Genomic DNA, 23,147 nt, shown 5'->3' on the forward strand with positions numbered 1-23,147 from the left:
TTTAGGTTTGGAGAAAATGAAAAGCAAAACATATATGATGCATTTCACAAATGCTTTTGGACTGATGTTGCTATACTTACTGGAAAATCAAGTTCCATTTGAATTCACCGAAATGTTTTCCTTTTTGCTTCTTGAATACTGTAGTGTTCTGTGATATAGTTAAATTTGCTGCCTTCGCAAGGTTGATACTGGAATTCTTTCTAGTGTATTATGCTGCATAATTTGTACCAATATTGACTAAATATTTATTCTTTTACATGTTCAATGGCTACTTGCAGAGGAATTTATTCAAATTTATTATAGTTTGCTACTGATATTAGCTTTATTTTGCATGTGCTGTAGAGGAATTCGTTCAGATATATTTTATTTTGTGTCTTTCCTAGTTACCAGTGTTCGGTGAACCACCGAACCAGTGTTTGCTTTCATACGACCGCGTGTCAGATCATCTACTCTTCCACCAGTAAATCTATTTTGCTGAGGGATACACAAAAGAAGCACTGAAAAACTATACATAAGATTTTCTTTAGGTAATTTTTTATTAATATTTCAATGTTGGTAGAATACTGCTACATACCCAGAATTCAGGATTTTCTACTATATTCTATTCTAGTACAAAATGAGATTTTTTCCCCTCAAAATCAGTTCACAATAACTTCTAATACATCTGTTATGAAAAATGCTTAATTCTTCATATAACTATGTGTCTTATATATAGGGTGATCGTACAATTTATTATACAAAATGGGACATACCTGAGAGTGAAAGGAAGCACTATTAAAAATTAAGGTGGGACTACAGGCATGAAACCAGAACTGTCTTAGGCCAACTAGGACATATGCTTATCATCTTTATATACCCGGTGACCTCCTATGTCAGCAAATAAAGAATATATACTAATATCAATAGATCACCATGCTGTACTATTGAGTGAGAAACCGTAGTAGCAGAAGGAACTGTGAGGTGGGAGACAGTAGTATGGGGAAAGACATGAACACCACAGCCCTGTTTTCTATACAAATATATACATATATGAAATTTGGGGACATTAGTAAAAGGGGTCTTTGGCCTTATCCGTAATATTTTAACATTATATAAGAAAAATACATCTATGCATTATTTGTATAGTTACTTTTAAATCTAAGTTACACAGAAGCACTCTGAATGTGTAGAAATAAAAGCTTGATGATTTTGGGTTGGCTTTCTAGCCCCACAATTTAAAACCAACACACACCGCTATGGGTGTTTATAGACATCAAAATTTAGAGCAGAGAGGCATAGATGCCTACTTGTTCTCTAGCATGGTGTAATTGACTCTGCAATCTCAAGAAAAGAAAAACTCATTTTCAGTTTAGAGCTCAAAACGTGACTGAATTGAGTAATTGAAAACCATGGTATCAAGCCTGTAATCCCAGCACTTTGGGAGGCCGAGGTGGGTGGATCACCTGAGCTCAGGAGTTCGATACCATCACGGCTGACATGGTGAAACCCCATCTCTACTAAAAATACAAAAATTAGCTGAGCGTGGTGGCGGGCACCTGTAATCCCACCTACTTGGGAGGCTGAGGCAGGAGAATTACTCGAACCTGGGAGGCGGAGGTTGCAGTGAGCCAAGATTGTGCCACTGCACTCCAGCCTGGGCCACAAGACCAAAACTCCGTCTGAAACAGACAAACAAACAAAAAAAACATGGTAGGCTGGGCACGGTGGCTCATTCCTGTAATCTCACCACTTTGGGAGACTGAGGAAGGAGGATCACCTAAGGCCAGGAGTTTGAGACCAGCCTGGGCAAAACGGTGAGACCCTGTCTCTACAAAAGACGACAGAAAAATTAGCTAGGTGTGCTGGTGCACCTGTGGTTCTAGCTACTTAGGAGGATCACCTGAGCCCAGGAGGGCACTGCAGCAGTGAGCTGTGTCCACAGTGCTACACTTCAGCCTGGTCGACAGAGTGACACCATGTCTCAAAAGAAAAAAAGAAAAGCCACGGTAAATAAACTAATACCTGTTATATGGCAGGAAATCAATGAAACATTTTCACTGAACCATCTCTACCCGCATATGCAGTTGTTTTTTTCAAACTACAGTCTTATGTTGCTAATTAGTTACTGAACATTCCATTTGAACGTCTCAAACTCCACTAGCATGTCTTGCATCTCTTCCTGTAGACACCAGCTTCCCCTCCAAACCCTTCCATCTTTCCCAGCAGAAACACTATTAATTAAGGATCCATGTGCATAGTTCTTGTACAGGTTACAAAAGGCCTCTGTGCCATTAAATCCATACAAGTTCCCCCAAGAGATAAGCAGGGAATGTTTTATCTCCACTTTACAGATGAGAGGCATTTGCTCAAAGTCACATTGCAAATAAGAGATGGCTCCAGGACAGGCATAAGGAAGTGCAAGCAAATGCATGAGTCCCTTGAGCACTGAAGGGCTATAATCACCCACTACCAAATATTTCTTTTCCACTTGGGCCCAAACTTAAGGTATTTGCTGTGCTCAGAGACACTTCCACTGTGAAGTGCTTTGTAAAAAGTTCACCCTTCTTTGGGAGAATTTAAACATCTAAGGGCACCTCTACAGGCTGGACTTTGCATTTTCATTACTTCGAAAGATTTTTATTAGGTCTGTGCTCCACGCCCAGAATAGTGTAAGACTGCAGGGGAGGCAAAGAGCCATCAGCAGCGAATAATACTTGGGCTCTGCTCTCAAGATACTGATTTAGAGGAGAGACTAGGACATGTGCAATGTGACCAATATCAGTATTTGATTAGGTACACAAACAAGTCTTCCTGGAGGATGTCCTCTGGGCTATTAAGTATGGCTCTAACATCCATGCTCCTCACAAAATACATGGAATTCCAGTAGATTAACAGCACCCCCCGCCCACACACCTCAGCTCTACGTAATACATACTCACATGACAAAATAATGGTTTGCTTCTGTAACTTAGTTTGTGTAGCAGAAGTCACTATTTACAGTTACTCATTTTTTGTAACAAATAGTTTACTTTAATTGCAAATGAAGTTCGAGTAACACTTAGCCTTGAATAATGTCATGCTAACGTGATAAAACCACCTCCAACAAGGTAAGAGTTTGGGCCAGGCTCGGTGGCTCATACCTGTAATCCCAGCACTTTGGGAGGCCGAGGCAAGAGGATTGCTTGGGGCAAGGAATTCAAGACCAGCCCAGGTAACATAGTGAAACACCGTCTCTACAGAAAATAAAAGCTGGATGTGGTGGCATGCACCTGTAGTCCCAGTTACTTGGGAGGCTGAGGTAGGACAATCATTTGAGCCCAGGAGTTCGAGCCAACAGTGAGCCATGACTGTGCCACTGTACTCTAGCCTGGGTGACAGACGAGACTCTATCAAAAAAAAAAAAAAAAAAATTTGGTCTTGGATTCAAGTAAACCTGGCTCAAATTTAAGTTTTGCCACTTCCTAGCTGGTGACGCTGGGTACCCTTGGGCAAGGTACTGCATCTCCCTAAGCCTCAGTTTCCTCCCATGTAAACTGGAGATAATAAATTGATCTGTTTCTTAAAGACATTAAGAAAGCTAAATAAGCCTAAGAAATAAAGAAAGCCTCAGGTGGATCACCTGAAGTCAGGAGTTTGAGACCAGCCTGGCCAACATGGCGAAACCCCAAATCACCGCTAATTAAACAAAAATTAGCCGGTTGTGGTGGTGGGCGCCTGTAATCCTATTGACTCAGGAGGCTGAGGCAGAAGAATCGCTTGAACCCAGGAGGTGGAGGTTGCAGTGAGCTGAGATCACGCCATTGCACTCCAGCCTGGGCAACAAGAGCAAAACTCCATCTCAAAAAAAAGAAAAAAAAATTAGAAAGCCTTATCCTGAGTAAACTCTCAACAAATAGTAGCAATTAACTATTAACAATGTTCATCTTTGAGTAATTTAGTTAACTAGGGTGACAGGTTAATATTGATCATTAGCTTCATGTTGAACATTCCCAGAAGCTAAATCCCCTATGAAAGGCACAGGACTATAAATCAGTGGAGTGGGGGTGTTGTAATTGCCCAGCAATGTGCAAATAATTCCCCTTAAAACCTGGGCAACATTTCAGACTTATTATTATCTATTCAGGACACTAACTCCTAGTGACTGTTAAGAGCAAAAGACGACTCATTCTTATAACATATATACATATGTTAAAATATATATATGGGTAAGACAGTATTTTACTCTTGGATCTGAAATATGGCTCCACTGGGAGGCTAGAGCAAAAGATATGTAGAATACTTGCCAAGATTAAAATCTTGCATATTAGTAATGAAGAATTTTTTAATTACTTGCATGCTTTAACCAGCTGTTAAAAATAAACATTGCGAATTACTGCTGATAAATCCCCTGTTGGTTGAAAGACACTTGCCTGGATCACTTTGCTACATGCAATTTCTTTGTAGTGAACTAGATTTGGCCTCGGTCATAATTACTTGAGTTCAATGAACTCAAGTAATTATGAACGCAACTTGAGTTCAATGAGTTCCTGGTGTGCCCAGGTTCTAAAATACAGAAGGGTAACATGGTATGAATTTGCACAACTTAGAGATACCAGGGACTGGTTGACTCTATTTCTGGTTTGATTTTCAATAGCAAAAGGCTGTTTTACACTAAAAGATCAGGTAACCAGGCACAACAAGATGTGTTGCCAAAGAATCCCTTTGGCTCAAGAAAAAGAGGCTCTAGGTTGGCTGGAAAAGTCAGCACTGGGACGTAGCAGTGCTTGTCTGTGTCAACAAAGAACTGGGCCCTGCATAAAGGAGCAGGTGGGGGGTCACTCGAATCCAAGGCCCTTTGGCGAGTCCCATCTCCCCCTTCATTCATTCAGCAAAGTTGTACTGAGCACCTGCTGTAGCAAAGCACTGCAAAGGGAAGAGCCAAGCAGAAGTCAGGAGCCTCTCAGCATCTTGCAAGGGAGCCAGTGTTTAGTATCTGGCACCAGTGCTCACCTCCTTGTTGAAAGATAAGAAACACCTAGAGTGCAGATTACCAACCAACACAGACTTTCTCAATCAGAAGCATCAGGGAAGAGTCTGGAGTCTGTATATCGAGGTAAAATAGATGTAAGGAGTTCCTGAAATCATTGGTTCTGATCATTCCCCTGCCCCCGTGCTTTTCTGGTTGTTACAGTGAAAGGACCGATTCCAGAGCTTCCTACTCTGCCGTTTTACATGATGTCACCCTTCTGGAGTCTGCATTTTTAATTTAGGCCTTGAATGTTCTTATTGCCTCAGGCTGGGAGTCTCAGGTGTAAAAGAAGCAATAACTGGGGAATCAGCTGTAATTTCAGATAAGGGACCACCTGGCTGATAAGTGCATTCACCCCGTCAACAAGCATTTATTGGGCATATGAAGGGTACAGAAGTAGAAAAAACAGACATGGTTCCTGCTCTCATGGGGCGTTTATGTTCTGGGGAGCAAATCACTTCATCAAACAATTTCCATATAAAACAAGAGTTTGAACTACTCTGCTTAAAGGTATGTTGGTGCCAAATATACATGATTTGAATAAACGTAATTCAAATAAACATGATTCTAGAAAAGGAAATCAATCTCATTTTTTAAGAAAAACTCCAGCAAATGTTAAATTACCCAGGGACCAAAAGACGACCCCCGTTTGAAAGAAAGAGGGCACAGAGGTGAGTGGAGAGGCTGCCTTTGGAAACCACGGGGTAGGATCACCTGTACCCAGGAGTGGACTGTGGACATGGCACACCAGGACATGCTGCGATTCCTGGAGAAAAATCGAACTTAAAGGACCTTAAGCAGAAAAGAAAGTGAACTGAAGACTCACGTGAGAGGACGATCTGGAATGATGAGCGTCCCGCAGGCAGCGTTACGGAACCCCAGTGTAGTCACCAGGACCTCCTCCCTCTCCATTTTTTGGCTCTTCTTAACACATAGCTGGACCCAGCAGCCCAAACATCATCAGCACTCGGTCCTCTCCTTCAGGTAGGAGGACCCTGAAGAGGAGCTGCACCAAGCGCCTGTCCTCCCCAGAGAAGCAATCCTAGCTGAAAGGGTTTCTCTAAACCTGCTCTGGGAGAAAGGCTGAAAGGATGACGCTGACTGGCCCATCGTGGCCCAATGACTGCGGCCGAAGGATGGAAGTCCTGTGAGCGGTCAGGCCTGCATGTGGAGGTCAGCCCCACGAAAGGGCTGGGAGGGACTTTTTGTCACCAAAAAGGAGCATGGGGTATCATTCTCTAAAGTGAGATATGCTGGTGAACAGCACACAACCTGGTGTGCCATCTCTAAGCAAGAGATGCTGGTGAAGATTTTAATAACATTGCTGGTGCTGGCTTCCAAGGCCAGCCAGCAGGGGCACCAGTGGCCCTATAATGATGTCTAATTGGGTCAGAGCTGGGGCGTGGCATTCTGCAGGCAACTTCTACCCTTTGTAAGGCTGGGCGAACCGGAGATTTGGAAAGCAATACAAGGTAGAAGCAGCCCCAACAATCTACGACAAAGCAACACTTGCCTCTTTTATACACCATGTTAGATGGTTGAGGAAAATAAAACATTTTCTTGAAAAGAATCCCTAGGCCTATTCCCTAGGTTTGAGAAACACCACAGCATAGGTAATTTGGTGCCAGAATGAGTTATTTGACCCTCCACTAACTGTTACTGCTTGTAATGTGGCACTGTCTGCCCCTGTCACCAGAAACGGCACTGAGGACATCCAAGAAGTATTTCCAACAGGCTTTCCAGACCGCTCTTCCCTTTTTGCAGGTGGGAGCAGTTTGGGCATTACCTTTAGGTTCCAATACAGGGCTCCTTGTTGCTCACACATCCTTCCTTCATTGCGACCCTCCATCAATCATATGGATAACCTCCCACACACTCCTCAGAAGCCATGGGTGAGGTAGCAGTGCTGGGTGGCTTCTGCCCAGACCTCTGAGAGCATCCCCAAGTGCACAAGTGTGAGCATAATTTTATTGTTAGGCAGGGTTGAGTGATTCAATCTAAGGTTGAGGCAAGGTGAGGGCAGCTGGGAACCCTAGAACTAATAGAATTTCTTAACTGCAGCGTCTCCTGACCATAGAAAGGAAGGGGAGCTCCCTTTCAGGAAATAGACTAAGTCTTTTAAAGTGGTGAGTTTTCAGCTGAGATGTGGAGGGAGCACAAATCACTTGGCCCACATTCCTTCCCCATTCCCTGACCTCCTTATAGCATTAATACTCCACCAGATCATATAGACAATGACTTCCCTTACTCACTAGACCTCATCTAATCTTGACTTAGTTACGACAGTTCTAGTGTAGGTTGGCTATTTTCCCCAGTCTCCAAAAGATTAGAAACAGTGAGTTATCTGTGTGCTAGAAAAGAGTGTTCATCCATAGCAGATGGGAAAACAGCATTCATTGGACAAATACTTATTGAACTCCTGCACTGTGCCGGGCATTAGGAGTACAGCTGTAAGCAAGACAAAGTTCCCACCCTCATAGAGCTAACAGGCATTAAACAAATAACCGTACAAATGTTTACAGTTATGAGCAATGCTATAAAAGAAAGGCAGGAAGCTATGACAGGCCTGTAGCATCATTTGTAGCAGGAGCACCAATCTTAAATTGCTGGGATCAGTGAAGGCCTCTAGAAAGAGACTTAACAAGAGACACGAAATAAACATTATTCAGGCCAAAAGGAGGAGCAGGGAGCCTGAGAAGCTTGGAGCCCAGGAACCTAAAAAAGGTCAGTGTAATTGGGGCAGAGAAGGCAGAATAATGTGAGATGAAGTTAGAGAGACAGGCAAGGGGCCAGTTCAGACAAAGCCTCTTGATCACGTTAAAGATTCTCAACCTAAGGAAAGTTTTCAGCAGAGAAGTGACAAAAGATTTGCACCTTTATAGAGTCTCTTGGCTAGGCATGTGGAGAATGGACTGAAGGAAGGAGGGTGTGGATATGGGTGGAAGAGCAAATGGGCTACTAGTGGAATCTATGGGAGAGAAGGTACACCTATACCTTGGGCAGTTTTAAGGCATGATTACAAGTAAAAATCAACTGGCTTAAACATGGGTTAGGTGTGTCAAGTCTGGGAGAGGGCAGGGGTCAGGGATTATCCCAGATCTCTGGGATGGGAAATTCAGCAGGTAGTGGAGATATTTACTAAGGAAGGGAGCCCTGTAAGAATTTGGGGTGGGAGAGGATTATGAATTCCACTTTGGCTACACTGGCTGACAGGTGCATGTGGGACATCCATGTGGAGTTGCAGAAGTACTTAGATATGAGTCTGGAGCCCAGGAGTGGTCTGGAACTGTACATCTAGTAGTACATATTTGGGCTGGGAGATGAAAATGGAGGCCATGGGCTTAGGTGAGCTCACCTAGGGAGAAAGTATGGTATTAGAACAGGGCCAAGGAATGAGCACTGAGAAAATCTACCATTTCAAGCTGGAGTGGGAGACAGTAACAGAATTGGGGAGATATGGAAGCAGGAATGTGGTAGCCAGGTTCCACGTTGGCCTCCAATGACACCACCTCCTGGTATTCATATCCTTGTGTAGTCTCCTCCCACACTGAATACGGCTAACCTGTGTAAACACCCGAGACTGTGGAAACGACAGTGCATGGCTGTGGCTGTGAGTATAAAATCTTTTTAAGATCTCAGAAAGGCCTGATGTGGCACCCCAGAGAGCTGTTCAGACAGTAAGGCTTCTAAGAAGCACAGCGTATTGTCCCTTGGCAGTCTGAGCAGAAGCTCACAGTGGAGAACTTACCTCAGAGATTTGTGGGTGTGGCTTTTGTGAGTGAACTGCAATAAGACTCAGGTGACGCATTCAAAATAATGTTCCCAGTACCACTGCCAGCTTGAATGGAAAGGGATATAGTGCAAAATGTTAACACAGCCGTTGGGCCCCTAAAATCCTTCTGGCAAGAAGCAGGCAGAAAAAGCTTTGTAGCTGGAAATGTGGGCAACGTTTCATGGAAAAGGAAGGATGACTCACATCGGGCCAAGAGCTCAGCCTCCAAGATCGCCTTTGACCATCTCCCTCTTCTGGTATAATACGGAAATACCTTTGTGTATTTCCTTCCCCTACTGAATAGGATTGACCTGCATAACCAATATACTGTGGAATGACACTGTGACATTTGAGGCCAAGTCATAAAGGACAATGCAGCTTCCACCCTGCTGTCTTGGATGACCTGCTCTGGGGATGAGGATATTCAAGCAGTTCTAGAACAATACATGGCAGGTGCTCATATGCGTTAACCCCAGGCTAATGCAAAAGCTTCTTTATGACAGAAAAGACTCCAAACACGTTTTCCTAAAAACAATCACTACCATCACCTCATACTGATGTTGCAATTTATATTAGAAGTACTTTCACCACATCTTGCTTTATGCTCCCAGTGAACCCTATGGGGTGGGTGGGTTTATACAAAGGGCAAATGCAGTCAGTCCCAGCTCCCAAGTGAGGAAGCTAAGTTCTAAAGGGCTTCTGTTCCTTGGTTAAGGCCACACACGATATTCACGGTGTTGGTATTATGACATCAAGTTCAGAGCTTTTCTGAAAATATCCAGGCAGCATTCCACAGGGATTGCTCATCTATTTGTATTTTACAGATACTCTCAAGACTAACTCTAGCAGAACTTTCCACAGTAATGTATCCCCCTTGTAATGTTCCCATACTATCCTTTCTGTAGCTGGAGCCATGGACAGACATGGACTCTGTCTTCTTTCCACTTGGGTTCCTATGCAACAGTGTAACTGGATCATCTGTAACAGTTTGTGGGTGGCCAGACAGTGCTGCCATTGTTCAATACATTCCTCATTGGAAGCTGTCTTCAGAGAGCCAATCTTCTTCCCAGTAAGAAAACCCATCTATGAGTTTAGAGCTCTGCTTCATTTTTAAACTAAAAATGGCATCAGCTTGATTGACTCCCTTAATCATCAGATTTTTAGTTGCTTCATTGTGGCCTTCTTAGAGGCCTAAACTTTACAAATAGAGTATATCCAAATACACTTGTTGCAGGCTCTGAGGGCACACCCAAAGACATTGCAGAAAGTCCAGTAGCAATAGCCCTCTAAAGAGAACACTGAGGAAGAAAGCCCTCATAAGGAATGTACCATGACAATTCTGATAAAAAGAATGGCTATGTGTGTTGAGGAGCGCTTTGTATGCTTGAATTTAATCCTCAAAAGAATCCTATGAGGTAGAATAAAGGCCTAAACATCAAACATTACCATGTGTTCACATAGGCATAATGCCCTGATATCATAAAGGGCAAAAGTTAACACCTAAAACGTACCCTGTGAATAGCTAATGCCTCTCCAGCAATAGCCACCATCCCCTCGAGGATTGCTCTGTTAGGGATCTGGGCCAATTTGGTGTTTTTCACACGCATTCAAGCCTGATAGTGTTTCGCCATTCCCACATCAGTCAGAGGTTTTAGGTAGATGCAGACTGCATAAAATGGAAATAAGTATATCTTGCCCTCTCAGAAATTCAAGATGGGCATCTCCAACTCAACTAAGCCTACTTCTATGGCTCCAAACTGACTTCTATTGTACCCACCTAAAACAGAAGCACATAACAAATCAAATTTCAAACTAATCTCTGCTTCTGCTTTTTCATTCCCATCTGGATTAGTGCAAGGAAATAAGACATAAAGATTCAATCCAAGAACCTATTCTTAAGTAGCAATTTGAAGAGCCAATGTTTGGCACCAGATATCACTGTACACATTTTAAAACCCATGTTTCTTGAGAACCATCTCAGCCAACTGTGATCACCTTATTTCTGGCCCCTCCTTCACAGTGACAGAATCACAGAAGAAGGCAGCCACATGAGAACTGCTATAATCAGGAGGAAGACCAATAGCCCATCCCAAACAAAACACTCCGAGTCACGACTTCCAGAACTTCTGCCATGACCATGGGCTTTAAACCATTCCACTGCTTCCTGGAGGTCAAATGGCTGAGCCTTATAACCTAGCTCTTTCTTGGCTTTCTCTAAGCTAAAATAATGTGTGACACCAGTTTTGTAAACTTCAGTGCGAGTGAGGAAGGGCTGGAAGTTGTAGAGTCGACCCAAAATGAAGTGAACCATCTCTGTTAGAAAAGCAAAGCAGTAGACCAAGGTCAATGGCAGGCGGGTAGACGGGAATGTGTAGCCCAGGCCCTCAACCAGAGGCCGGAAGAACTCAAAGTTGTTCACGGGTCTGCCATCTGAGATGAAGTAGGGCTGCCCAGAGGCAATATGGCCCTTGTCAGCTCTCAGGGCTTCTGAGGCCAGAATGTGAGCCTGCACCAAGTTATCCACGTGGACAAACTCAACCAGGCTCCTGGGGTCCCCGTAGACAAACTTGAACAGACCCTTCTCGATGTAGCTGACTATCCTGGGAAGGTGTCTTTGTTCTCCAGGCCCATAGATGCCAGCTGGCCTCAGAGCGCAGGTTCTTAAGACACCGTCGCCTCTGTCCAGGGGTGTAGCATTCGCCTCCAGCACCTTCTGCTCTGCAATTGACTTTGTCCGAGAGTAGTGATCAGGGTGGAGGTGAAGAGGCAGGTAGGGCAGAGATTCATCCCCATTTCTGATAACTTGACCTCCAAAGATGACATTGAAAGTGCTGGTGTAAACTAACCTGGGCACCCTTCTCCTTTGGCAAACCTGGAGGATGTTGTCTGTGCCCCTGACGTTGACTTCTTTGATCAGGTTTCGATTGAGTTGCTCCCGCCCTGACATACCATAAGAGGCAATATGGAACACACAAGTGACGTCTGCATCCTGGAAGGCTTTCTCTACGTCAGACAGGTGGCGGATGTCTCCTTGTATAAACTTGATTCCTTCTGGAATGGTTTGAGCAGGGCTGCTGATGTCAAACAGAATCACATGGACTCCATTTTGGTTCAGGGCACAGCCCAGGCTGAAATAAGAAACAGTAAACGTTGAATCAAGTCACTCTTAAGCTGTGCCTAGGGGAAGTGTATAAAGTAATTTACCAATCAAGGTGGGGCTGATCCAAGTCTTCTTGGCTCATCCTGAGCCCCTCACTATGCATGTTCCTTGGTGCAAGCCTCGCTTCTTCAAATTTTCAAAAGTGAGAATCCTCTCATCTACTTAAATTACAAAGAGAGAGGCCTTATCTTCAAAGAATGGTGGCATTTTTCCCCCTTGGTTCTAGGGCCCACTATCTATTCTTTGGAATATTTGTGAATAATAAGATAACTGTGAAAGAACAGCTATGATTTAAAATTGTTTTTGGTGATGTGAATAGTCACCCCTCCCAATTTAATGGCTTTATAAATAATTTTTCTTTAAGTGAAATATACCTGTAGTTCTCAGCTGCAATGTCTGAGCAGTGGGCAACACAGATCATTTCTGGTTTGACATTACACAAACAAGTAAAAGTCTGCTCTGCTGTCAGAGTTGAATGCTTCTGGCAACTACCAGTAAAATAATTCCATGTGTATATTTTATAGATACACTTACCGAAAACCAAAATAGCCACTTCCTCCTGTAATGAGGACACTTTCCTTTTGAGATCTTTTGGGGTCCATATGTGGCAGTCAAAAGATAACTGGACCTGAAGAAAGAAGTATGCATCACTGTTACTGATCCAAATGCAAACGTCATTCTCCCTAATTTTGACCTAACAAAAACAAAAAGTCAATACGCTGTAGTAGAATGAAAAGGTGAGGTCTGGGTCTGGTCACAGCTGTGTCATTTAGCTACTTTCCCTTCAGTTCCTGGGCTTCAAATTTCACCCGATGTAACATGGGGACAGTAATACCTGCTCTGCCCACCTGAAAAGGTTAATGTGGAGGTTAAATAAGAGAATGTACTTGGCAGTGCTTTGAGAGCCACAAAAAACGTTTCGAACATAAGGCATTATTGTAAATTCTTGAAAATGATTAGAGCCTTTTTGAAAATAATTGATTCAAATTTGGTAGGAAGAGGCATTTCCCCCCCATGCATCAGAAAATTAGAGAGCACTCTAAAGGAAGCTCCCAACATCTTTTCTTTAAAATTTCGCACTGCAGCATGGTTTAATACTGCTTTATTAACCCTATACTTAAAAAATATGTATATGGGGAAAAACTCCTTTATGTAGCAAACCATGCCCCACCTCCCCCACCGCAAATCTTGCAAGTACTTAAAGTACAAGTGCTCAGTGCCTTTGGGGATCCCACTTCTCTCTCCCTCTTCTTCTGTGGCCCTCCCCGCATTTCTTTCAAGGCTCCAAGGCCCCCTTCTCCCAAAAACAAAACTAAATAAGCAAAAATGAAGACACCCAACTCCTTCCATGTGGGAGGGAGAGAGGCCAGGCACGGTGGCTCACACTTGTAATCCCAGCACTTTGGGAGGCCGAGGCAGGCGGATCATGAGGTCAGGAGATCGAGACCATCCTGACTAACACGGTGAAACCCCGTCTCTACTAAAAATACAAAAAATTAGCCGGGCGTGGTGGCGGGCACCTGTAGTCCCAGCTACTCGGGAGGCTGAGGCAGGAGAATGGCGTGAACCCAGGAGGCGTAGCTGGCAATGAGCGAAGATCGCGCCACTGCACTCTAGCCTGGGCGACAGAGCAAGACTCCATCTCAAAAAAAAAAAAAAAAAACCACAGGAAGCACACAGGTCCTCAAAGGCACTGGGTGCGTATACACACACACACACACACACACACACACACATATACCTGTGCTCAAGTCAACAGAGACACTCAGAGGTGTGGTTAGGCATGAAGACTGCAAGCAATCAAGAGCCCTACCATTTCTCTTTCCCAGCCAGGCACCCACGACTGCAGCCACTGCACCACAAAAGTAGACTTCAACATGGAAGAGTGTGGAGACAGGAGGGAAGCGGGAGCAGCAGAGGTTAGGGCTATGCAGGATGAAGAGCTTGTATGGCAGAGAGGCTATGAGTGTGAAGTCAGTGTACATGCACAAAGAAAGAAAAAATATGGGGGACAGGAATACACAGTGAAGACGTCTCGCCTCCGCCCTTAAATGGTTATGTGATCTTGGCCAAGACATTTCTCTAGATTTCACTTTTCTCTTCTGTCTGGTTGTGTGTTGTGCTATGTTACAGGAATGCTAAAGTTTCTAAAAAGGCAGCATGGTACAGTGGAAATAATAACAACAAACACATACCTAGTGCTTACTACTAGGGCCAGGCAGCATGCTAAGTGCTTTATGTGTATGTTAGCCATTTAATCCTTTTAATAATCTTACTAGGAAAGTACTATTAGATCCTGTTTTTCAGCTGAGAATTACCACAGAGACAGTAAATAAACTTGCCCAAGCTTACCTGGATTCACACCCGATGGCAGTTTGGCCCCAGGAGCCCGCACTCTTAACCACTAAAACACAGTCTTAAATGAAAAGAGAATGGACTTTGGGGTCCACTTACCAGTTGTGTGATTTTGGACTGTGTGTTTACCACATGTGTTAAACACTCTGAACCTGCTGCTTCATCTAAAAGTGGAGCTGATAATAAGCCTGCCTGAAGACTGCATGGGATAATGTGCAAAAAATGTCCAACAAAACACCTGACACCGTATGGGCACTCCACAGATGTCATTCCTTGAGCTGCCCTTTTTTCACACTCCAGAGTTTAGAGATCCAACTATTTTATTACATTTCCACATGACATGACTACATCTCTCAAAAGCACAGGGTTACAAAGAGTTTTGTAAGTTCTTCTGAATACCTGTGTGAGTGTATTAAGACTGCCAATGAAGCGAATCAGATCACTTATGCAGAGTCAGTCAGTGTGACAAGTGAAGACAAGGTTCAGCAAGTGACTGTCTCAGTGGTTTGAGGGTATGGAGAAGAGTGAGAAATACTAGGGAAACTGAGCAAAATGGGGCAGAGGATGGCTGATGAGTTCCCAAGGTTCCATTAAGCAACTGCCACGGTTGTGCTTTCAAGAAAATTCATGAAGAATGAATGTGCCAGCACTCCCTCAATGCACCTAACAGTGACCTTGTGATTCTATTGTTTTCTGAGTGCAGAACACTCCCATTTGGATTTAGAGTAGCCATAAAACCAAATGCAGTCAATTCTGTTCTTTAGTGTACTCACAACCCTTCATGATGAATGCTATTTCCCAACACAGTAGACATCAGTTACTGATATATCAATACAGACTTCCCACGTTCACCTCCATGACCTGGTCACAATTTCCCACTCTTCTGCTACTGGCACTCCGTGCTCCAACCGTACAGACTTTCCTTATCTTGAAGATGCTGAGCCCATTAGTGCCTCCTGTTCTCACTTCAGTGTGACACATCGTATACTAGGTCCTTTTCTGGAAGCTTCTTTCTCAATATTTAGGTCTGCTGACAAGTCTTCAGAGAGACTTCTCTGATCACCCTAGCTAACACAGATGCCTGTACCCTAAATGTTGCTTTGTTTTCTCTATGGAACATTTTGCTATCTATCTAAAACTATTTACTTTTTATTATTGATCTCCTTCCCACAGAATGTTAAGTTCTATGAGAACTGAGGTCTTCTGCCTTCTGGGGTGTCCCTACTAGAATCCAGAACATAGTAGATGCTCAATAAATATTTGTTGAATCTATGGATTATTCTGAACACCCTAAAATATATCCAATTCAGTAAAATTGTGATGGGCACAAATTACCCAGGGCTCTGCAGTGTCTAAGAGCTGCTGTTCTGCAAGACATTAATACTGCCATTTTAACAATAACATGTCTCCTAAAAAGTGCCGGGTTATGAAATGAAAGATACAAACCCAAACGAGACAGAGGTCCTGCTTTCCAGAGCTTACAAATAAGAAAGAGGCTTCTACAGATACCAAAAGGAAAAGGCAAAAAAGATGAAAATAACGCTACTGTTATAATGTTGGTATAAACAAAGTGTGGTGGGAAACCAAGGTGAGGGGTGGGGAGACTGATTCTGACAGGGCACATCAGGAAGAGATCATGGGAGAGTGAGCTTTAGCACTACAGGGCCCATGGGAGGATCTAGGTAGGCTGAAAGGAGGGTTATCACAGGTGGGGGTGCACCACGAATAAATGGATCACATGCAGGGAAGGCTGTGCTGGGCAGCTAACATGGTGAGTCCGCCATGGCTGGTGTGCAAACTGAAGCATGGAGCTGATGCTTGAGGGTGAAAAGACAGCCTGGGGTGAGCCTGGAGACAGGCTTCTGTCCCCTTCCATAAAGTTTGAATCCCATTCTTTTTTTCTCTTTGAGACAAGGTCTCACTCTGTTGCCCAGGCTATAGTGCAGAGGTGTGACCACGGCTCACTGCAACCTTGATTTCCTGGCCTCAAGCGATCCTCCTACCTCAGCATCCTGAGTAGCTGGGACTACAGGCGTGTGCCATGATGCCTGGCTAATTGAATTCCACTCTGCAGACAACACAAGCCTTTGTAGGTTTACAGCAATGAACCGTTGGGGCCACCTTGGTACTTGTGAAAGAGAAGGCTTCCCCTGGAGGAGGAAATGGGCCAGGGTCCAGGTAAGGGAGATGTGGCTCTAGACTAGCGGGTTACCAGTGAGGACAAAAGGCCAGTGTGCTCAGGTGAAATCAGGGTGAGGGCTGGTGAACAACTGCAGGAGGTGGCAGCGTGCTGCACCCAGGTGATGTTTTGAGGAAGATGATGTCATTAATTGAAACAGTAAGTTTTGGAAATGTTCTTGTCTGGTTGAAAGTTTTGACAAACAGGATGTCAGATAACAATTTAAGATCTTCTTAATATCTCTGTAAGAATTCCACCATAAGGAATTCTGAAAATGGACAAGGCCTTCAAAAGCCCAATTAAAACATTCCAACGGAAATACCTATCTTTAATTAGTCTTTGGTTTTAAAATTACACATTCCAGTCCAGTCACAAGACCATAGGTCAATCATGGTTCATGTGCACATTAATCAAGTAAGGAACATACAACTTCGGATTATTAATGCTTCAGAAACCTGCCAGGCCTAGTGATGCTACTCCATTACCTTCCAACTAGTTTCAGAATGATCTGAGGCAAAAACTTGTATAACTGACCTGATCGGGGGGGTCAGAAGAGAAAGATAAGAAAAATTAATAACTTAACAAGATAAACAGCAAGGAAAAAGCTTATCCACCAGGCCAGTAAAGCCTTCACAGGATGGTAGCCATCTGCTGCACTGCTGGGAGCCGCCTCCTCCCTTCCTGATCCCCAACATTGATAAGCACAGAAAAATCTCAGCAAACGCATTTTGCAGACCTGCCCCCACCCAAAATTCACATGAATCCTAAGCCAGAAGGGAGAAAAGAGAATATACAGTTGTTCTTCAACCAGCTGCCTGATTTTCATCTACTCTGTGGCTTCTGTTTTATTAATTAGTTTCTATCTGATTCCTTCTAGGGCTGGGCACTCAGACCTGCCTTTATAATGGCAAGTGCTTGAAGGTCCTTCCAAAATGTGGCTTTGTTCAGTAATTGCTCTCCCCTGGTGGGGAGGGCTACATCCGACCTGAGCAGTCATTTTAGTGGATACAGGTTAAAGTTAAGCACATGATCAAGAAACAACAAAAAAAACCTTAATTACAAACAGTAAAAAAAAATTAAATTTAAAAATCCACCTGACCTCTTGAGAATACTAAGGTAAAGCGAGGGTAATAAAGTTGACATCTCAAGGGAAGTTATGAGAAAAAACTAATAAAAGATGACTGGGAGTACTTTACATTTTAAAAGACCTAATTAAATGCTAAAGATCAGAAATAAGAACCTTTGATTACGCACACCGTTCCTTCATCCCTATGAGTTCAAGATGACTGTGCTACTTGCCCTCTGGTATCATAATGCAATATAGAAATATGGGTGTCATTAGCATTTCACCAATAGAAAGTATGGAACAGCGGGAATTTAAGACTGTTACCATAAAAATAAAAAAACTGTATTTACTTTAAGAGAGAGAAAAAATATCTCCAAGTACTATAACCCCATGATTACGTGTTTTAAATCACTGTACAAGTGCTGACCAGAGGTAAAAGGTAACTGTATTCTTATTATATTGAGATCTGGCAAATATATTCATGCTAGAGGGCTTACGAAATGGTGCTGTTCAAATTCCATGCATGATCTGAAAATTATCTACTTGTGTTTAATACAAGGAAGTCAAAACAATAAAAATAAATATGCAGTTAGAGGGATAAGGAGAAGAATTCTGATACAGATAAAAGAGATGTGACATATAAAATTCAAAAGGGGCTGGGTGCAGTGGCTCACGCCTGTAATTCCAGCACTTTGGAAGGCTGAGGTGGGTGGATCACTTGAGGTCAGGAGTTTGAGACCAGCTGGGCCAACATGGTGAAACCCTGTCTCTACTAAAAACAGAAAAAATTCGCCAGGCGTGGTGATGCACACCTGTAATCTCAGCTACTCAGAAGGTTGAGGCAGGAGAATTGCTTGAACCTGGGAGATGGAGGTTGCAGTGAGTGCAGACTGCACCACTATACTCCAGTCTAGGCGACAGAGGGAGATTCCATCTCAAAAAAAACAAAAAACAAAAAACCAAAAGGCCAAACACACCTTGGAAGAAAATTACCTAAGGGCATAGAGTTAAGTGAAAACCAGTATACTCGTAATAGATATGGGTATTTATGCAGGGTTTTGAATATAACTAGGTAGCAGGACAGCTGTCTATAATTCAGGGTCATCACCTGAGGTGTTTCAAATCTTGTTCGGCTACCTAAACTTCTGCCTAGATACTTGTGGCACAAGTGCCTTGCAATTCCTCACAATGCTGATGACAAAGAAATGAAATAATTTTGTAACTGGTATTTCCCATCTGTTTCCCAAGCTACAGTATAAATGCCATGTGAGTACAGACTGGCAATATCTATAGGGACAAGGAATATCTAGCAGATTGTAGACCCAGTAAATATAAATGGGGTGAACATTTTGCAAGCTCTTCAAATGCCTCTTTCTGTCCTATCTGCAAGGAGTACTACACTTGTACTTTCTTCTTCACTAGGTCAGCAGTTTGCCACGTCTATAAATTGAAGTAATACCAAGTAATTGAATTAATATCTAGTAATTGAAGTAATATCAACTGCCACTTATTAAGCACTTACTCTCTGCCAGGCATTGTGCAACACTCTGTCTGTGAATTATTTCACAACCCTCTCAGATGAGTACTAATTTGTTAATTCCATTTTACAGGTGAGAAAACTGAAGCTCAGAGACACAAAGTGCCTAACTCCAAGTCCTACAGCTAGCAAATGGTAGAGCAGGGATCTGTACCAATAACCCAGGTGCATCTGACTCTACAGTTCATCTTAACGCAGCAGCACTCGAGGCTGTGCAGAGCCCCTACCTGAAGTGCTTGGTACTGACCTGAGTCCTGTGAGGGCTTTCACTGTTAACACATTCTGCAACCTCATTGTGGTTCCTGCAGTTCCCAGAGAAAATGAATTGGAGGTGGCCCATCTTCTCCCATGTGGCACAGGTAGCACTGATGAAGGGTTAAGACTCCCAGTTTGGAAATCTGGGCATTAGACTTGGCTCTTCCACCAATTCCCTGTGTTACCCTAGGCAATTCACTGAACCTCTGTTTCCTCCGCCCTAAAATAAAAACAGCAACAACCATGGCTACACTTATTATTTATTATGGGTTAGGCAGTGATATGGTTTGGCCGTGTCTCCACCCAAGCCTCTTGTTGAATTGTAGCTCCCGTAAATCCCACGTGTCCTGGAGGGACCCGGTAGGAGGTAATTGAATCATGGGGGCGGGTCTTTCCTGTGCTATTCTCATGATAGTAAGTCCCACAACATCTGATGATTTTATAAAAGAAAATTCCCCTACACAAACTCTCTTGCCAGCCACCATGTAAGACGTGACTTTGCTCTTCCTTTGCCTTCTGCCATGATTATGAGGCCTCCCCAGCCACGTGGAACTGTGAGTCCATTAAACTACTTTCCATTATAAATTACCCAGTCTTGGGAATGTCTTTATTAGCAGTATGAGAATGGACTAATACAGTAAATTGGCACTGGGTAGTGGGGTGCTACTGTAAAGATATCTGAAAATGTGGAAGTGACTTTGGAACTGGTTTACAGGCAAAGCCTGCAACAGTTTGGAGGGCTCAGAAGAAGACAGGAAGATGTGGGAAAGTTTGGAACTTCCTAGAGACTTGTTGAATGGCTTTCACCAAAATGCTGACAGTGATATAGACAATAAAGTCCAGGCTGAGGTGGTCTCAGAGATGAGGAACTTGTTGGGAACTGGAGCAAAAGTGACTCGTTATGTTTTAGCAAAGAGACTGATGGCATTTTGTCCTTGCCCTAGAGATCTGTGTAAGTCAGAGCTTCAGAGAGATGATTTAGGGTATCTGGGGTAAGAAATTTCTAAGCTGCAAAGCATTCAAGAGGAAGCAGAGTGTAGGTTTGAAAAATTTGCAGCCTAATGATACAAAAGAAAAGAAAAACCCATTTTCTGGGGAGAAATTCAAGCTGGCTGCAGAAATTTGCATAAGTAACAAGGAGCCAAATGCTAATCATCAAGACAATGGGGAAAATGTCTCCAGGGCATGTCAGAGACCTTCTTGGCAGCCCCTCCTACCAAAGGCCCAGAAGTCTAGGAGGCAAAAATGGTTTCCTGGGCTGGGTCCAGGGTCCCCCTGCTCTATGCAGCCTAGGGACTTGGTGCTCTGCGTCCCAGCTGCTCCAGCTGTGGCTAAAACGGGCCAAGGTACAGCTCAAACTGGGGCTTCAGAGGGTGCAAGCCCCAAGCCTTGGAAACTTCCATGCGGTGTTAAGCCTGTGGGTACACAGAAGTCAAGAACTGAGGTTTGGAAACCTCTCCCTAGGTTTCAGAGGATGTATGGAAACTCCTGGATGTCCAGGCAGAAGTTGGCTGCAGGGGTGGGGCCCTCATGGAGAACCACTGCTAGAGCAGCATGGAAGGGAAATGTGGGGTTGGAACCACCCCACAGCGTCCCCACTGGGACACTGCCTAGTGGAGCTGTGAGAAGAGAGCTACCATCCTCCAGACCCCAGAATGGTAGATCCACCAACAGCTTGCACCGTACACCTAGAAAAGCAGCAGACACTAAACGCCAGCCCTGGAAGCAGCCAAAAGTGGGGCTGTACCCTGCAAAACCACAAGGGTGGAGCTGCCCAAGACTATGGGAAACCACCTCTTGCATCAGTATGACCTGGATATGGGACACGGAGTCAAAGGAGGTCATTTTGGAGTTTCAAGATGTGACTGCCCCGCTGGATTTTAGACTTGCATGGGGCCTGTAGCCCCTTCGTTGTGGCCAATTTCTCCTTTTTGGAATGAGTATACTTACCCAATACCTGTACCCCCATTGTATCTAGGAAGTAACTAACTTGCTTTTGATTTTACAGGCTTATAGGTGGAAGGGGCTTGCCTTGCCTCAGATGAGACTTTGGAGTGTGGACTTTTGAGTTAATGCTAAAATGAGTTAAGACTTTGTGGGACTGTTGGGAAGGCATGATTGGTTTTGAAATGTGAGGGCATGAGATTTGGGAGGGGCCAGGGGCGGAATGATATGGTTTGGCTGTGTCTCCACCCAAATCTCACCTTGAATTGTAGATCCCATAATTACCACGTGTCCTGGGAGGGACCCAGTGGGAGGTAACTGAATCACAGGGGTGGGTTTTTCCCATGCCGTTCTCTTGATAGTGAATAAGTCTCAAAAGATCTGATGGTTTTATAAAGGGGAGTTCCCCTACACAAGCTCTCTTGCCTGCCACCATATAAGACGTAAGATGTGACTTTGCTCCTCTTTTGCCTTCTGGCATGATTATGAGGCTTCCCCAGCCATGTGGAACTGTGAGTCCATCAAACCTCTTAACTTTATAAATTACCCAGTCTTGGGTATGTTTTTATTAGCAGCATGAGAATGGATTAATACAGGTAGTTTAAAGGTTTAGCATTTAAGCCTCAGGACAATCTTCCGAAGTTGTTACTAGTATTATCATCAGCTTTCAGAAATGAGGAAAATAGATCAGAGGTTAGGAACCTTGCCCACAAATTATGCAGGTCATAAGGGGTTGGGCAGGGTTCAGGACTTGAAGCCGGGTCTGTATGACTCTTAACCACTACATGTAATGCCGCACAATAAGGCTGGGACAATACAGATTCGCTTAGGTCATTATCTTATCACTGTGAAAGGAAAATAAATCTTGGGGTCCCAAGATCACTAAGCTAAAGGGAAAAGTCAAGCTGAGAACTGCTTAGGGCAAACCTGCCTCCCATTCTATTCATGTATCTCTGCTCACTAAAATAAAGGCATATCTGATTGCTTCCTTTGGAGAGGCTAATCAAACTCAAAATAATGCAACCATTTGTCTCTTACCTACCTATGACCTGGAAGCCCCCTCCCCGTTTCGAGTTGTCCCGCCTTTCCAGACCGAAAAACATGTTCATCTTACATCTGTTCTTGTCTCATGTCTCCCTAAAATGTAGAAAACGAAACTGGGCTCTGACCACATTAAGAATACATCGTCAGGACCGCCTGAGGCTGTGTCATGGGTACATGTCTTCAACCTTGGCAAAATAAACTTTCTAAATGAACTGAGACCCGTCTCAGATTTTCAGGGCTCACTCCACCTCCACAATTTCTGTCACATCTGATTCATCTGGTATTATGACTAGCCTATAAGGTTTTGTTTAAACCTACTTACCTTTTCCCAACAAATACATGCAGTTTAAATGGGAACCTGTCACTGCCACTTTTAAGTGGCAAACCAGAACCAAGTGATAAAGAGGAGGTAATCGTTCTCCCAAAGTGTGCAGAAAATCAAAGACAGGAATCAAGTATAGCCAGCCACCTGTGGAAAGTTCGGAGCTTGGGGCCCCGATGTCCTTAAAAACAAAAAATGCGGAGGGCCAGTGTTTGAGGCCTTGGCGACATTCTAGAAAGCCAAGCTGCGCCCGGTCCCCTGGGATCAGGAAGACATCTGAAAGGGGATACTCCTTCCCGCCACCCTGCTCAGTCATTCACCACCGTCCCCCACCCCCGGGACCGCCACCTGTCGCGTTCCAGGCCGAGGCGGTCCAGGGTCCCCGCGGAAGGGCGGCGGCCCCCCAACCCCAGCCCAGGCCCACTCACAGCTGCAGGAACAAGGGCGCGGCAGACGGCTACAGCAGGCAGAGAGGCCCAGGCCTCCTAGCTACCCATCACCACAGCTGGGGCGCCGAAGCCGTCGG

General features: G+C 44.0%; 1 protein-coding gene and 1 long non-coding RNA gene across 5 annotated transcripts, besides 1 other annotated feature; one reads left to right on the top strand and one right to left on the bottom strand.

Moving 5' to 3' along the window:
* Positions 1-517: 517 nt before the first annotated feature.
* SDR42E1 (short chain dehydrogenase/reductase family 42E, member 1) lies at positions 518-23,133 on the bottom strand. 4 transcript variants are annotated; one of them, XM_005256257.5, is made up of 4 exons: positions 23,050-23,133; positions 19,304-19,531; positions 12,454-12,547; positions 518-11,887 (listed from the first exon to the last, which is right to left on the bottom strand). In XM_005256257.5, the coding sequence occupies exons 3-4, from the start codon at positions 12,519-12,521 to the stop codon at positions 10,774-10,776; spliced, it is 1,182 nt and encodes a 393-aa protein (XP_005256314.1). In that variant the 5' UTR covers positions 12,522-12,547; positions 19,304-19,531; positions 23,050-23,133; the 3' UTR covers positions 518-10,773. The 4 variants fall into 4 exon arrangements, with proteins under 4 accessions (XP_005256314.1, NP_660151.2, XP_011521773.1 ...); NM_145168.3 differs by lacking the exon at positions 19,304-19,531; XM_011523471.4 differs by lacking the exons at positions 19,304-19,531; positions 23,050-23,133 and adding an exon at positions 11,964-12,080 and having other exon boundaries at positions 12,454-12,546.
* Positions 16,119-19,557, top strand: LOC112268169 (uncharacterized). The gene is made up of 2 exons (XR_002957879.2): positions 16,119-16,452; positions 19,130-19,557. It is a non-coding gene; the product is annotated as an uncharacterized LOC112268169 (long non-coding RNA).
* Positions 22,908-23,057: a silencer, noted in NCBI's record as "silent region_7764". NCBI's record gives its function as "represses an Ori minimal core promoter by ATAC-STARR-seq in GM12878 lymphoblastoid cells {active_cell/tissue: GM12878}" and the evidence as "EXISTENCE:reporter gene assay evidence [ECO:0000049][PMID:35858748]".

Source organism: Homo sapiens, chromosome 16, assembly GCF_000001405.40.
Source record: "Homo sapiens chromosome 16, GRCh38.p14 Primary Assembly".
NCBI classification, from domain to species: domain Eukaryota; kingdom Metazoa; phylum Chordata; class Mammalia; order Primates; family Hominidae; genus Homo; species Homo sapiens.